The 16,791-nt window shown below is 40.1% G+C and overlaps 1 protein-coding gene across 1 annotated transcript, besides 1 other annotated feature; it reads right to left on the bottom strand.

Annotated features, from left to right (window-relative positions):
- Nucleotides 1-3,254: 3,254 nt before the first annotated feature.
- RAB32 (RAB32, member RAS oncogene family) lies at nt 3,255-14,375 on the bottom strand. Its single transcript, NM_006834.5, has 3 exons — nt 14,087-14,375; nt 8,467-8,744; nt 3,255-3,752 (listed from the first exon to the last, which is right to left on the bottom strand). Exons 1-3 carry the CDS (start codon nt 14,334-14,336, stop codon nt 3,603-3,605), a joined length of 678 nt encoding a protein of 225 aa, NP_006825.1. The 5' UTR covers nt 14,337-14,375; the 3' UTR covers nt 3,255-3,602.
- Nucleotides 14,422-14,801: a silencer, noted in NCBI's record as "silent region_17644". NCBI's record gives its function as "represses an Ori minimal core promoter by ATAC-STARR-seq in GM12878 lymphoblastoid cells {active_cell/tissue: GM12878}" and the evidence as "EXISTENCE:reporter gene assay evidence [ECO:0000049][PMID:35858748]".

The raw sequence follows: 16,791 nt of genomic DNA, 5'->3' as shown, positions 1-16,791 counted from the left end.
CTGGTCTTGAACTCCTGGGCTCAAGAGATTCTCCCGCTTTGACCTACCAAAGTGTTGGGATTAGATCTTGCCAAGCCTAGGCTTTGGTTTTGTTTTTGTTCTCAATAAATTAATGAATCTTGCCCATCCAAGTTCACTTAATGTATAAAACAAATTTGGTCAAGGTCTCATTTTGCATTAGCTTTGGATTGTGTTACAAAACCCTTACAATTTTATTTGAAAGTTGGAAGTTCTGGCCAGGGCAATTAAGCAGGAGAAGGAAATAAAGGGTATTCAATTAGGAAAAGAGGAAGTCAAATTGTCCCTGTTTGCAGACGACATGATTGTATATCTAGAAAACCCCATAGTCTCAGCCCAAAATCTCCTTAAGCTGATAAGCAACTTCAGCAAAGTCTCAGGATACAAAATCAATGTACAAAAATCACAAGCGTTCTTATACACCAATAACAGACAAACAGAGAGCCAAATCATGAGTGAACTCCCATTCACAATTGCTTCAAAGAGAATAAAATACTTAGGAATCCAACTTACAAGGGACGTGAAGGACCTCTTCAAGGAGAACTACAAACCACTGCTCAACGAAATAAAAGAGGATACAAACAAATAGAAGAACATTCCATGCTCATGGGCAGGAAGAATCAATATTGTGAAAATGGCCATATTGCCCAAGGTAATTTATAGATTCAATGCCATCCCCATCAAGCTACCAATGACTTTCTTCACAGAATTGGAAAAAACTACTTTAAAGTTCATATGGAACCAAAAAAGAGCCCACATTGCCAAGTCAATCCTAAGCCAAAAGAACAAAGCTGGAGGCATCACGCTACCTGACTTCAAACTATACTACAAGGCTACAGTAACCAAAACAGCACGGTACTGGTACGAAAACAGAGATATAGATCAATGGAACAGAACAGAGCCCTCAGAAATAATACCACACTTCTACAACTATCTGATCTTTGACAAACCTGACAAAAACAAGAAATGGGGAAAGGATTCCCTATTTAATAAATGGTGCTGGGAAAACTGGCTAGCCATATGTAGAAAGCTGAAACTGGATCCCTTCCTTACACCTTATACAAAAATTAATTCAAGATGGATTAAAGACTTAAACGTTAGACCTAAAACCATAAAAACCCTAGAAGAAAACCTAGGCATTACCATTCAGGACATAGGCATGGGCAAGGACTTCATGTCTAAAACACCAAAAGCAATGGCAACAAAAGCCAGAATTGACAAATGGGATCTAATTAAACTAAAGAGCTTCTGCACAGCAAAAAGAAACTACCATCAGAGTGAACAGGCAACCTACAATATGGGAGAAAATTTTCACAACCTACTCATCTGACAAAGGGCTAATATCCAGAATCTACAATGAACTCAAACAAATTGACAAGAAAAAAACAAACAACCCCATCAACAAGTGGGCAAAGGATATGAACAGACACTTCTCAAAAGAAGACATTTATGCAGCCAAACGACACATGAAAAAATGCTCATCATCACTGGCCATCAGAGAAAGGCAAATCAAAACCACAATGAGATACTATCTCACACCAGTTAGAATGACAATCATTAAAAAGTCAGGAAACAACAGGTGCTGGAGAGGATGTGGAGAAATAGGAACACTTTTACACTGTTGGTGGGACTGTAAACTAGTTCAACCATTGTGGAAGTCAGTGTGGCGATTCCTCAGGGATCTAGAACTAGAAATACAATTTGACCCAGCCATCCCATTACTGGGTATATACCCAAAGGACTATAAATCATGCTGCTATAAAGACACATGCACACGTATGTTTATTGCGGCACTATTCACAATCCCAAAGACTTGGAACCAACCTAAATGTCCAACAATGATAGACTGGATTAAGAAAATGTGGCACATATACACCATGGAATACACCATGTCCTTTGTAGGGACGTGGATGAAATTGGAAATCATCATTCTCAGTAAACTATCACAAGGACAAAAAACCAAACACCGCGTGTTCTCACTCATAGATGGGAATTGAGCAATGAGAACACATGGACACAGGAAGGGGAACATCACACTCTGGGGACTGTTGTGGGGTTGGGGGAGGGGGGAGGGATAGCATTAGGCGATATACCTAATGCTAAGTGACGAGTTAATGGGTGCAGCACACCAGCATGGCACATGTATACATATGTAACTAACCTGCACACTGTGCACATGTACCCTAAAACTTAAAGTATAATAATAATAATAATAATAATAATAATAATATAATAATAATAAAAGAAAGAAGTAAGTTTGGACCTTTCTTAAATCAGTAAGTTGGACATGATATAAGTAAGTCCCTTAAAAATAAAAGGCAAAAGTTAACAAATTTTTCTAAGGCAGAAAAGTACATCCCATATTACCTTTCTATTGTAGAATTATACTAATTCAAAAGTAAGACTTCGGTCAAAATATTTATTATTTTCATTAATTGGCTTAAATGGTAATGCAGATATTGTGAATCTGCCTTAAGTTTCTTAGATATTATACTTTAAATGTCCCGACCCTTAGATAAAACCACACATGACCTAGTGTCTTTCACAATTCATACTATAGAAGCTCAGATTTAATTGTATATGCTTTGAAATACTTTCTCTCCTTGACCATTGCTATCACAGACTTGAGAAAGAATTGCAACCATCATATCACTTAGGCCCTCAGTTATGAACATAAACACACAGGAAGAAGAGAGAAAGGACTAGGGAGAGAGAAGAAGAAATGCTCATTTATATAGTTTCCAAGGGGTAGTAACCATATCCAGAAGGAAACATCCATAATACAGATGTGCTATGAGTACTTTTTCAGTCATTAAGAAGGTCATTTTAATGTATTTAAGAAGAGCGACCACATGCCACACCAGCTATGAATGGTTAAGTTAGTTATAAGTAAGGAAAGTAACTTTACACGAAGTTTCAAAAGGTTCGTTTGTTTGTTTTGCTTTGTTTTGTTTTAAGAAAGAGGTTCTCACTCTGTTGCTCAGGCTGGAGTGCCATGGTGCAATCATAGCTCACTGTGACCTCAAACTTCTGGGCTCAAGTGATCTTCCTGCCTCACCTTCTTAAAGTGCTGGAATTATAGGCATGAGCCACCATACCTGGCCTTTCCAAAGTTTTGAATAGAAAATCGCTAAAGAGAAACCTCAAGCCTTCGTGGCTAATAGAATCTAAAAACCCCCCTAAAAAGCGAGGATGCAATAAGGTGGCAAAAATAAGACTCAAAATGACCATAAGACTGGAGGTAACATTTTATTACCACCCCAGCACTTACACTAAAAGCTACAACTTGGAAGCCTTACCAAATCCTGAGGAATTGTCATATAAAAATGTTTAAAAGGATGTAAACATTATCTTCCATATGATGGCAACAATGACAAAAGCCTAATTGTCATCTGTTAAGTTACAGAGCCACTAGCAGGGATACTTCTCCCAAAGTTCCATTTTCAAATAAGTGCAGGCGCCCAGTGGTGCTGCCTTTTGAAGTGCCACATGTGGGAAGACTCCCAGCTAACATGACATCTGTAACCCATTCTCAGGAACTTCTTCAGAGCTGAGGCACACACAAGAGAAGCAGAAGCCATATATCAGCAACACTGGGATTTGTTCTCTGCTCTCAAGGTCTCTTGATCTAGCTTAATTTTGTCCACATCGTTTTCTTCATTAGGAAAGCTTTGGTGGTTTACAAGAATCTTCTCCACTAGGAACCGGGCAGCTTCCTCTATGTTTATGTTATCCTGTAATGCAGAAATGAAGAACGGGATTAATTTTTAGGATTAATTCTTAGAATAAGGCATTAAGAGTATGAATGGGACCAGGAAAATTTGTTAGAGGTGGCAGCAAGTGCACAGCCACTTTCCTCTAATACTAAAGTGTGTGCCCACTTAGAGTTGAATGTTAAAGAATAATGTGGTGATGGAAAGAATTCCCTTATTTTTATGAAGGACACCTTTTCTGATGTTCCTATCTTAAACCTTTGCCACTGAGGTTCCATGAGCTATCTCGACGGTTGAAAATGAATCTTTGCTCTGGGCTGCAATTCATATAATGAAGACATTCCAAATAAAAAAATTCCTGCCCTTGAATATCTAATTCAAGCAGTCAGGATACACTGTGAAAAAAACTGAAAGGGCTCAAACAACATTAAAATGTGATAAATGTATCATGTCATTTTTCCATCTCTAAGTACCAATTATTCCTTTTAGTTGTCATGTATAAATTAGCCTGAAACAATGTTGTCAGTGCAATGTCCATTAAGGACACCCTAAGGAATTATTAGCCGTCACAGCATTTGTGCGACTGAATTATAAGTTATCATTAAATATACAGTAGGTAACACATTGCAAAAACTGTGCTTATTTTTAAATATATTTAACTGTTCATTTTTAAATAATTTTGGATTTACAAAAACATTGCAAAAAAAGTAAACATTCCTACCATTCACACATATTTCTCAAATGTTAACATCTTAGATAACCAGAATACAACTATCAAAATCAGGAAATTACATAATAGTGTTGTATCAGTGCTAGCCTAAAAAGCTTACTCAAATTGCATCAATTATCTCAATGCCCTATTTCAGATCCAGGATCATAAGCTATATTTCACTGTTGTCGCCCTGGTCTCTTTTACTCTCGAACAGTTCCTCACTCTCCTTGCTTTTCATGACCTTGACACTCTCAGAGAGCACTGGCCGGTGAATATACCTCCATCTGTGATGTTCGATGTTTCCTTATCATTAAATTCAACGTATGTATTTTTGGCAGAAATAAAACACAAGTGATGTACCCTGCACAGTTTATCAGGAAGCACACTGCTTCAAGTTGTTTTTGCCATGTTTCTCCACAGAAAAGTTATTATTTTTCCCTTTGTACTTAGTGCAAATATGTAAATATCCTGTTTCTCACCGCACTTTTCCCCACTAATGTTATCATCAATTAATTCCTCCCTACAACAATCATCACTGTGGTGTTTAATGGTGACTTTTTTATTTCTGCCATTCCTTCTACATTTATTAGCTGGAATTCTACTGTTAGAAAGAGGTTCCACACATGTATACATACGTGACTAACCTGCACGTTGTGCACATGTACCCTAAAACTTAAAAGTATAATAAAAAAATAAAAATAAAAAAAGAAAGAGGTTCCCTTCTCCCCCATTTCTTTATTCATTTGTTCATTTTTATCATGGATTATTAGTTTACTCTATAAGTTGAACCCATTACAGTAATTATTTAGTTTGTTGCTCAAATTGTCTTACATGTTTGGAGCTTGTATGGCAGTATCCTGTATCTTTGTCACATGTCCCCATCATTTTGTAAGCATTTCCTTAGTTTCTTGCACAACAAAATATCTCAGGCACATCTTTACTTGACTTGTTCCACCCGTCCTAAAATCAGGCATTTCTCTAGAGATTCCCATTCTTTTTACTGGAGAATGATATTTAAAAACCGAATTTTGAGCACGAGGTAAGTTAATTGGTTCTGTGGTGTCATTCCTTTTAAGCCCTCTCAGCAGGTATGGCTAGTAAATAAACGTATGTATACACACATGCATCTGTATCAACTTCTTTATCTGTTTACACATATGTGTGTGTACATACATATATCTATACACACTCACATATATATATGCATATACTCTTACACACACACACATATGAAACCTGAAGCTCATATTAATGTCTAATCCAATCCAATGCTATGAGGTTCATTGTAGCCTTTTTCCTTATTTGTAAACCCTTTCTCAGACAACAAGAAACCTAAAACAGCTGTGCTATTTACAGGCATCTTTCATAGCACTGAAACAAGCTTTTTATTTATTTTTTACCTCCACTCCCAAGATAAGTGTTAACTTTAATTCAAGTATTGATCTTTTGAATGTCCAAGTGACATTCAGTCCCAGCTATCCCCATTATATCAAATAATTATAAAATTCTCTAACTGTATTTGGAAGCAGTTGGTTAAAATTCCAATGATAGTGTAACTAGTCACATGTTAATGTAATTCCCATATGTTAATATTATTAAAGTTTCATATTAGAAATCCATTATTTGCCATAAAGGTGAAATGATGAAATTTATTTGCAAAAGTTATCTTTTGCCTATGTTCCTAGTGAAATTCGGATGACTGCAATTCAAGCAAAAGTCAGATCTGAAGTTAGCTGCAGGCCAGCTCAGAAGTGTACCTTAGTGACATTTAGGCAGTACTTTAAGCCTTAACTCTAAGATTTTTAACCTAAATTTTTTTATTACTGTTATTCTCTTGGAACACGTCTGGTTTACTGCTAAGGAAATTCTACAGAAGCTGCTTCTATTATATTTGTATGGAAGCACAGAGCAAACTTGAAACTTGTACTCTTAACCAGCGTTTCACCTTTCACCTCTGCGTGTAATCCTATCCATACATAAAGTGAAACCGATGACTTACACAGTCACAAGCTACTAGTCACATGACGTCTTACATCTGGGGGCAAATCTGGATTTACTATCTGAAAGATTAAATAGAGCCTAAAGGGGAATTTTGTCTATCATTTATAAAACTCCTCCACCAAAATGCACACTCGCATAAGCAGTTATACTTACTGCCCCTTTTTTTTTTTTCGTCTTTTTACAGCAAAGCTGGCAAGTAGAGCAAATCACCCAATAGGCATACAGAGCAGACAGAGGGCATGAGTGTCCAGAAGAACACGCCTGTAATCCTAGTGCTTTGGGAGGCTGAGGCAGGCAGATCACTCCAGCTCAGGAGTTTGAGTCCAGCCTGGGCAACACGGCAAAATTCTGTCTCTACTAAAAATGCAAAAAGTAGCTGGGCATGGTGGCACATGCCTGTGGTCCTAGCTTCTTGGGAGAATGAGGTGACTTCTCTATAAGAAGGCTTTCTTTCTGTGATTTTCTCCTTCGTGTCAGATTAAGTGCTCACATAGCACTCCTGGGCTTCATCTTTCTTCTATCACTATGTTTTATTTATGAAAGGAAATTTTAAGATGCTATATTTATTCAAACAATTAGCCTCTAGCTTAGGAGTGTACATTTCTGCCTGCAGTAGACAGTCTTTTTTTTCCCAGTGACTCCATCATTGCGCAATATTTTTGGAGCGGTCTCCTTTTGTGCAGTCTCTCATTGCTTCGCTTTTATCCCGCAGATCATCATTGGCATCAAGTAGTTTTTCACTCTAAGGGTAAGTTTCTAGTAGAGCTAAACCTAATCTGATTAGTAAATATCCAGAATGAGGTGGGTGATTTGGAGGAACAATCATACATACATACATATATAAAAACACCCGTAAACACACACAAGAAATCCACAGAACATAAACTAAAAGCTAGAACTGTGTTATGATTTCAACAAATTTATGGTATAATGTTTATCTGTCATCACAGAATTTTTCAAACATTTCATCATTCTTACATAAATCTGATTGTCACTAACCCCCTTATGTGAAAGTTCCAATGCACGTAACCCCCCCCCCAAACATTTTATATATGTATAATTTTCACCTTTTTTCTATATCTAGACTATTAAGATTTTTTTTTTTTTGAGATGGGGTCTCACTTTGTCACCCAGGCTGGAGTGCAGTGGCATGATCTCGGCTCACTGCAACCTCTGCCTCCCAGACTCAAGTGATCCTCCTGCCTTAGCCTCCCGAGAAGCTAGGACCACAGGCATGCACCACCATGCTCAGCTACTTTGTGTATTTTTGGCAGAGACAGGGTTTCGCCACGTTGCCCAGGCTGGTCTCGAACTCCCAGTTCAAGCGATCTGCCCGATCCATCTGCCTCGGCCTCCCAGACTGCTAGGATTACAGGCATGAGCCACCGTGCCTGGTCACTAGACTGTTAAGATTTTTGAAAGTCAACTGAGTGTTTTATTTTTTCCTTCAGAAAATATTTTATTCAGCTTTCCATAATAGACAAAAGAAAAAATTCTCACTCTACTGTTTATGAAGCATACCACAAATGTTGATACTTTCTGGCTGTTTCAAATCTTTCGTACACAGTTAACCTAAAACTCTTCAAACATCATCTGAATAAATCTCCTCTCTGATCTTTTCACATGGTCCTGCATGTGACACACATCTTCACCAGAGGCATCTTCCTATTCACTTAGCCTTTTGTAAAAACCAAAAATTCTCGTGCTTGACAATACCCCCAACCACTCTAGTTGCATGAGAAGTACCTCAGTTAAAAACTCAAACTCACAGAAAATGTCATTTGCTTTTTGCCCTAAATAATTCTTTTTGTTTTGATGGAAAATCTGCCCTTCTATTAGCCATTAGCCAATTTGGAAAGCAGTCCTGTTGTGGACTGAAAGAAGCTATAACACATCCATGCTACACTTCTCATTTTCCAGACTTTCAAACACCACTCACATAAATATATCTAAATACTTTACATTTACAGCTCAGAATTATGAGCTAGAAAGCAAAAGATGCATAAGCAAAGCAGATCTCACCTTTGCAGAGGTTTCAAACCATCCGGCAAAGCCATGTTCTTTGCAGAATTGGTCCACCTGGGAAGGACTCTGGCTACTGTCCTTGTTCTGGTCACATTTGTTAGCCAAGAGGACAGCAGGGATAGGGCTGCCATTTGGAAGATGAACTTTACTATCCAGATCACTTTTCCATTTTAAGACTGCCTCAAATGTGGAACTTCTTGATATATCAAAGACTACAAAAGCACCAACAGCTTCCTTGTAGTATACTCGGGTCATGTTGCCAAATCGCTCCTGCCCTAGACATAAATATAAGAAAAAATTAAAAACTTGTAATTCAGACAGAGTCTACATTTAGGTATAACCCCTTTTACCCCAAGAGCAACACTATGAACAAATGTCTTCCATTCCACAGCAATATAACCTGGTGTGATTAAGGCTATCCATACAGACCATGACCCATAGAGCAGATGTGTCTGATAATTTGGTTTAAGTACATAATGAATTAGTTTTATGTTCTGTACAACATATTCTCCATAAAAACCAATATGACAATATTTAAAGCTACAAAGTCTGTCATTTATTCCGACTCGTCTCCCCTTAGTCTAAGAGAAGAGAGGCACTAAAGGAAAACATAAAGCTGGAAGTAGAGGAAGAAGAGACAAGAATAGAAGAAATGAAGCCTGCAGGAAGGAGATAAGTGCAGTGGGTAACATGCTAGTCAAATAGATTAGGGCTGGACATGAGATAAAGTAGTTCATGTTCTCAACTCATCTCTCCTTCATATCTCTAGCCCATACCCACTTCTGACTCAATATGCAAGATTTCACCCCTGTAAGTAGTAGATACATGAAAATCTGTTTCAGAACAAAAGGCACAACTGGTTGTGTTGTTACAAGAAGAATCAATTCCAGGGTTCTTCAAATGTCATTGTACTTTTAAAATAATTTATGTCAAACACTTTGGGAAAAATCTGCTTTGTACATTATATAGGACTTTGCAAAGCGTTCTCTTACTATCTGCTATTGTACTAATCTTTGGCATAGGAAAGACCCTTCTTTTCATCTGACAGATGTAACAACAGGAAAATGGATGCTTGGCCAGGATTATAGTGGCACTGACTAAAGAAGACAGGACTAGAATCCAGGTCTTCTGACTCCCACACACCTATAGAAGTGGGATGCTAGCCTTTCTGAACTATCTTGCAGTTGCCTTGACTTAGTTACTGACTACAGTGTGAAGGAAAAATGATTGGCAATCAATGCACATCTAAGATGTATCACTCTGTTCTATGATAAAGACACTTTCTTCTTGAAACACATGAGCAACAGGCTTTATCTACATTTTATTGACACATTTTCTCTGCACAGATGCAAAGATACCCCAAAATATAAAATTCTTCCTTCTCCAAACTCTACAATGCAATATAATTTTATATATTGTTTTAGGGAATAATGGAAGAAGAATAAAACAATGGTCAAACGTGAATGCATAAATTTAAGGTTTGTTTTGTGATGACTCCTCATATGGTTTAACTGAAGCTGTACTGTAATAGTCCAAAGGTCTAAATTTTACTGTAACAAATGGTCACATATGAAACCCTACTATTATGCTCATATTTTATTGTGATGTAAATCTGACCATTATATAGTTCATTGGCTCATAATGCTGACATTTATAAAAACTTACATGATATGCCAACTGTTCAAAATCGCTATTCTGCAGAAAGACTATATGCATTGAAATGATTCAGACTCCAATTTCAAATGCAGTGCACACATTACCAACCACTTCCATTTTTATATATTTTAATTATTGAATATGAAAAGACTAAGCAACAAGATATGACAGTCTTAAATTAGGAAATTGAAAAAGTAAGATTTCAAGATAATTACATGGTAATAAACTATTCCTTTGGACTATATCTTTAATTTAGAAAAGAGAGTGGGGTGACAAATGAGTAAAAGAACAGTTAGAAACCTAGAAGTTAACAAAGAGTTGTTAAACTTTAGTGACTGTTGCTTTTTTTTTTTTTTTTTTGTGAATCATCTGTAAATTTCAAGTATTTCCTTTTACTCGTGCTCATGAAAGATGATAGGAGAGTTGTGAAAAAAAAGACAAAGGGATATTACTAGGTATACTAATCGACAAAGTATAAGATGCAGCAAGGCAATCAGGATCCACATTCTATTTTGGATGGGAATCAAAACAATGTAAAATAAGTTTAGGCATAAATTATATAGTTTATATCTTCCAAGCACACATTTTATGCTTGGGTAAATATTATTTATATGAACTTCAGAGCAGACTGTTCCCAATTTGTCCTTTGGCCCAAAGGAGAGTTACTCATTCAGATTTTTATTAAAAAATGTTGATCCTAAAAAGCAAATCACTCAGTCAATACATGAAGGCTAAAGTATACTAGACCTAAATGGACAAACTTGTTTTTTTAAGATTTAACCTAGACCAGTCTTTCAATTTGCCTGAAAAATGCTATAGTGACTAATAAGCAATAAGCATATAATAGTAAACCAAATACTACTTTACCTACACTGAGCATTAAAAGGAAGATCAGAGACATCTCTTGCTATATCTTGAGTATGCATTTATTAAGATCTCTGTAAAGTGTTATCAAAGACTTCAAGATTTTAGTATATTTCAGTTATGTTTTGAGCAGCAGTCCTAAAGTACGTGTGAGTTAAGAGATGGCAATTGTCTAACACAAAAACTGCACTAAACTGCATCTGTATTTTAAAGCCAGATTCCTTCAATGCCGTAAGAACAGATTTGTGTATCTGAGGATCACAGTGGTTCTTAACCTGAAGAGTTCAGCTGAATCTGCTTAGCTACATGTGTAGAAAACATTTGATAATTCTAGCCTATCATACTTGCCACAGCTTTCAAGCATAGAGATTCGTCATAATTTCTTCACTACCTCGCCCTCTCACTGAAGCAACCAAAAAAAAAAAAAAAAAAAAAACCTAACTAGTAAAAACACCACACCTTAACTTAGTTATGGCAAGTAGCTGGCTCTATCTACTATTGTGCAATCAAAGAATATTTCTATTATTTGAGAATTAAATATGATCCAACTTTGTTACTACATAAGGCAAGTATGCTTAGCCCTGGGGGAAGTTTGTGGAGCAGCCATCAGTTTGCCTTCATTACATCATCATTACTTAATTCAAATGGTATGAGCTGAGATTCACTAGTAGCTCAAATATTCAAATCAAACAGTTAGTAATGTAGCTCTCCAAACTTTAGGCTAAGGATTTTTTGTTTTGTTTTGCTTTTTTTGGTCTCTAAAACAGTTTTTTTTGTTTTTTTTTTGTTTTTGGTCTCTCACTAAGCTATTTTTCTCCCTCATATTCAGAGATATTAAAATTCTATCTCTGAAAATCTTACTTATAATGTGAGCCTAATAATTTCTATAAATTTACCTCTAATTTTGTAAATTGCTGGTCTGTACTTGCTGTATGGGACAACAATACCTGTTGAAACAATATCTAACATCCAGAAATCCCTTTTGGAGATCTTAAACTTTTGTTTTCCTTCCTGGCAAAACTCAAGCTTTGGATTTAGTGAAAAGTACAAGGATATCCCATCTAGGCAGATGTTTATCAGAGTCTGATAAAAAACTAGATATGACCCCTTCCTGTCATTCGAGGTCTGTGATTAATAAAAAAAGAAGAGGTGATACCAGAAAGAAAATTTGTATCTTACTCCTGCTTTTACTTTCTCAAGTTTCTAACTATAAACACTTAAAAATCTAGTTACTCATACTGATTTACCAGCAGTGGGACCCAATCGTAGTTTAATAACAAAATGCCATAATTTACATAAAGAGTAAGGCAAGGTCAATCACCCTTGTAAGCAAGGTTTTAAAACCATCTTTGTGAAAAACCTCAGCTATGCTGCAGATTCCTGGAGAATGACCGTCACATGGTAAGGCAACCTTTAGAATCCATGACTTTGTCAAGAAGCAGAAATACTGCTCATTAGGGTTCTGTGCAACGGCAGGAAGTGTTTCGAAAAAACTTCTGGCTTCAAAGATGACTTTTCAAACGAACTTTTGGTTTTTGGTAACAAAAAACAACAACAAAAAGCTGAGTCCCTGGCTGATTACTCCTTTTTTCTGAGCAACTGAGTTGCATACAGTTATTCTCCTGTCTGAGGGACAGAAATGTGCTCTTAAATGAATGAGTTATAGGTTACAATTATTTACTACTCTTTCTTATGTAACAAGCTATAAATGACAAGAGCACTACCTGGCAGACAGACAGTAGACCTGTGATCCCCCCAACCACTCTGCTACCAGCCAGGTAGCTATACCCTCCATGGGCTTCAGTGTAGGGACTGTAGAATGAAGGGTGGCCTCAGGTGTCCTCTAACCCTAAACCAGCTCCCATTCTAATGCTGTACTGCAGACTGTGCTTCTTAACACCTGTAATGATTGAACAGAGTAATTTTCGTACTTTTTTTTTTTTTTTCTGAGATAGGGTCTCACTCTGTTGACCAGGCTGGAGTACAGCAGTGAGAACACAGCTCACTGAAGCCTTGACCTCTCCTAGGGTCAAGTGATCCTCCTGCCTCAGGCTCCTGAGTAGCTGGGACTACAGGCACGCACGACCACACTTGTCTAATTTTTTGTATGTATGTATGTATATATGTATGTATGTATTTTGTAGAGACAGGGTCTCACTAACAGCCCAGGCTGGTCTCGAACTCCTGTGCTCATGCGATCCTCCAGTCTAGGCCTTCCAAAGTGCTGGGATTACAGGCGTGAGCCACTGGCACTTGGCTTGGTACCATTTCTATGAACTTTCCAATAGTTAACATCATCTTTAAAACGCCCACTCCCAACCACCACACCAGGCAAAGTTCAAGTGTTCATAAATCAGAGCAGAGGGAAATGTACCCCCTCAAACAGAACAAATGAAAGCAAATGGCAGAGAAACACTGTATTGAGGAGTGGGGGGGGGGCGGGGGGGGGCGAGGGCACCAGGGATGGGACTAGGTGTTGGTTTAGCAAGAGAGGAAGGGGTGAGTGTAAGGTTTCAGAAAAGCTTTCCCAAATCTTCACGGAGTGTCTGTCCTCGGCTTCCGATGAGAGCAAAGTATTTGAGGAATGGAGTTTCCCTCACAAAGGCCAGTCTCAGAGCCAAGGCGGGTGGTGGAAAATGATCTGGAAAGGAACCTGGCTTTTGGTCTTGGTGGTGTCACTAACTAGGAGTGCAGCTTCGGGTTAAGTCACCCAATCCCTCTGAACTTGAGTTGAGGCTGAGAGGCGCCGGCCCGCTCCAAAGCAGCCTTCTCAACTAGTCCTGGTGTATGTATGATATACTTGCATTATTCAGAGTTCAAACTTCTGGAAAAGGCCCCCTGGCCTCCTCGCCTCCCTTCAGGAGAGCGAGCTCTGGCGTGCAGGACCTGCTCCAACTCCTACTGCCCATCCCATCCTCTGGGCCCCACCGAGTCCAGCCGACCGCGTCCATCGCATCTCGCCCTTGGATTGGGCCTCTCTCTTCTCCTAAAGGTACCCAGGCAGACGAGTTCAGGCAGAAAAGAAAAAGAAAAGAAGCAGAGAGGAGCCAGGCGGCCCGGCGGGGCTCTGGAGTGGGAAACTCGCGGCCGCGCTTACCCGCGATGTCCCACAGCTGCAGGCGCACCAGAGTCCTGCTGTCCCAGTTGAGGACCTTGAGGGCGAAGTCCACCCCGATGGTGGCCCGGTAGTGCTGGGAGAAGAGCTGGTGGACGTAGCGCTTGATGATGCTGGTCTTGCCCACGCCAAGCTCGCCGATCACCAGCACCTTGAAGAGGTGCTCGCGGGTCTCGGGCGCTGGGGCGGCGGCCGCCCCCAGGCCGGGGTCCCCGGCTCCTCCGCCCGCCATGAGCGCTGCGGCTGTCGGGCGCGCCTCGACTCCGAGTCTGGCCCCCTGCCCGGCCTCGCGCTCTGCCGCCGCGCCCCCGGCGGCCGCGGAAACTCCCCCGAGGCCGGCCAGCCCTCCGCCGCGCCCGCTGACGCCGCCTGACCGGTCACAGGACCCAGAACCCGCCAGTGCTCGCGGCCCGGGCGGGGCCAGACGAGGGCAGGGCCGGACGAGGGCAGGGCCTGGCGCCGGCTTGGGGAGGACCCTGCGCGAGGCGGCTCCCGCCCTGCGCCTCTGAAGCCCGGCCGGGCCCAACTGGACTTCCTCTCCCGGGCGGCGCCTCCGAAGCCCGGCCGGGCCCAGCTGGACTTCCTCTCCCGGGCGGCGCCTCCTGGCGGTCGCGGCGCGGAGGGAGGCCCAGACGCCCGCTGGTGGGCCTCCGGGGAGCCGGCCTGGAGCCTTTATGGGCCCCGGAGGTTCACTGGGGGCCTGAGGAGGCGCCGAGGTCGCTGAGCCCCCCCCGGGGCCGGGGTCGGCGTGGGGTCCGGGCCCAGCCTGGAAGCCTCTGGCCTGGAAATCCACCTCCTGCCCTACTCTCCCCGCAGGGAGAGCCACACTTGCGGGCCTTGGCTTGGGTCGCGAGCAGTCCCCTTTAGATGGGAAAGGAAGTGGCACCGTGACTTTGAACTTAACGAAGGACGGATAACACTGGGCTGGTAGTTCTGTTTTTAACTTTTTGAGTGAACCTCCGTAGGGTTTTCCATAATGGCTGTTCCAGTCCGCATTCCCACCACCAGTGTACAAGGTTCCCTTTGCTCCGCACATCACCGACACTTATTATCGCTTATCTTTTTTATAACAGTCATCCTAGCAGGTGTGAGGAGATACCTAGTGGCTTTTCCCTGTTCATTAGTGATTTTGAGCGCCTTTTCTTATACCTGTTGGCAATTTGTACTTCCTCTGGAAAAAAAAAAAAAGTCCATTCACATCCTTTGCCCGTTAGTTAACTGGGTGTTTTATTTATTTATTTTGGCTGAGTTCTGTGAACGTAATGTATTTTGGATATTAACCCCTTATCAGATATATGGCTCACAAATATTTTCTCCCAATCTATAGGCTGTTTTTTCATTTTGTTGATTATTTCCTATGCGGTGCAGAAGCATTTTAGTTGGATGAAGTCCCATTTATCTAGGTTTGCTTTGGTTGCCTGGGCTTTTGGTGTGATATTGCAAAAATCGTTGCTAAAGCCAGTGACCCAGCTATCCCTCTTCTGGGTGTATACTCAAAGGAAATGAAATCAGGATCTCAGAAATCGCTCTCAAGTTCATGCAGCATTATTCACAGTTGCGAAGATTTGGAAACAACCAAAGTGTCTGTTAACGATGAATGGATAAAGAAATTGTAATACATACATAGGCATGCACGCGCGCATATACACAGACGCACACACACACACAATGGAATATCATTCAGCCTTTAGAAGGCGATCCTGACATTTGCAACAACATGGATAAACCTGGAGGACATTATGCTAAGCGAAATAAGCCAGACACAAAAAGAAAGATACTGTGCAATATCACTTATATGTGGAATCTTAAACACACACACACACACACACACACACACGGAATACGTGGAAACAGTGGTGGTTACCAGGGGCAGGGAAGAAACGGAATGATGCAGGTCAAAGTGTACAAAGTTGCAGTTATATAGGATGAATGAGTCCTAATGATCTAATGTAGCATGAGCGTTATAGTTAATAATATTGTATTTTAAACTGGAAATTTGCTAAGAGAGTAGACTGTAAGTGCTGTTACCATTAAAAAAAAATTGCAGCCAGGTGTGGTGGCACCCACCTGTAGTCCCAGCTACCCAGAAGACTGAGGTGGGACGACTACCTGAGCCTGGGAGGTCCAGGCTTCAGTGAGCTTAATCGCACCACTGTATTCCACCTGGGCGACAGAGTGAGACCATCTCAAAAAAAAAAAAAAAAAAAAAGAAAAGAAAAAATGAAAAGAAAAAATTGTGTAACTATGTGAGATGATGGACATGTTAATTTGTTAATTTGCTTAACTCTAGTAACTATTTCACTATGTATATCAAAGCATCATGCCGTATACCTTAGATATAGATATATATATATATACACACACACACAACAAAATAGTCTATTAAAAACCTTATCATGCTTTAGCATTTAAATTATGGAAGGAGTTTGAGAAAGAAGACACAGGGACTCTGAAGCCATCTTACTTTACTTCCCTAACAATCCTTTTTCAACCTTCATCTGGTAGTGTTTGGATTAGATGTAAATGCTCTAAGATAAATCATAGGAAATTGATTGGAAAGTAGTAGACTTGTGGGTTTTTATTTTAAAGAAGAAACATGGGGGACAGCCCCTTGCTTTCTCTATCTATAAAGTTGAGGGATGCACCCCATCACCTTAATATTTAGAAACACCTGGAGCTGACATCAT

The sequence above is a fragment of the Homo sapiens genome, chromosome 6 (genome assembly GCF_000001405.40).
Source record: "Homo sapiens chromosome 6, GRCh38.p14 Primary Assembly".
In the NCBI taxonomy this organism is placed as follows: Eukaryota; Metazoa; Chordata; class Mammalia; order Primates; family Hominidae; genus Homo; species Homo sapiens.
The sequence above is the reverse complement of the archived record's forward strand: the minus strand, read 5'-3'. Positions and strand labels throughout refer to the sequence as shown.

Coding starts and splice junctions, on each gene's coding strand:
- RAB32 (NM_006834.5), bottom strand. CDS start 14,336: ATGGCGGGCGGAGGAGCCGGGGACCCCGGCCTGGGGGCGGCCGCCGCC. Junction 8,745..14,086: donor GCAGCTGTGGGACATCGCGG/GTAAGCGCGGCC, acceptor ATTTATGTCTAG/GGCAGGAGCGATTTGGCAAC. Junction 3,753..8,466: donor GGTTTGAAACCTCTGCAAAG/GTGAGATCTGCT, acceptor TCTGCATTACAG/GATAACATAAACATAGAGGA.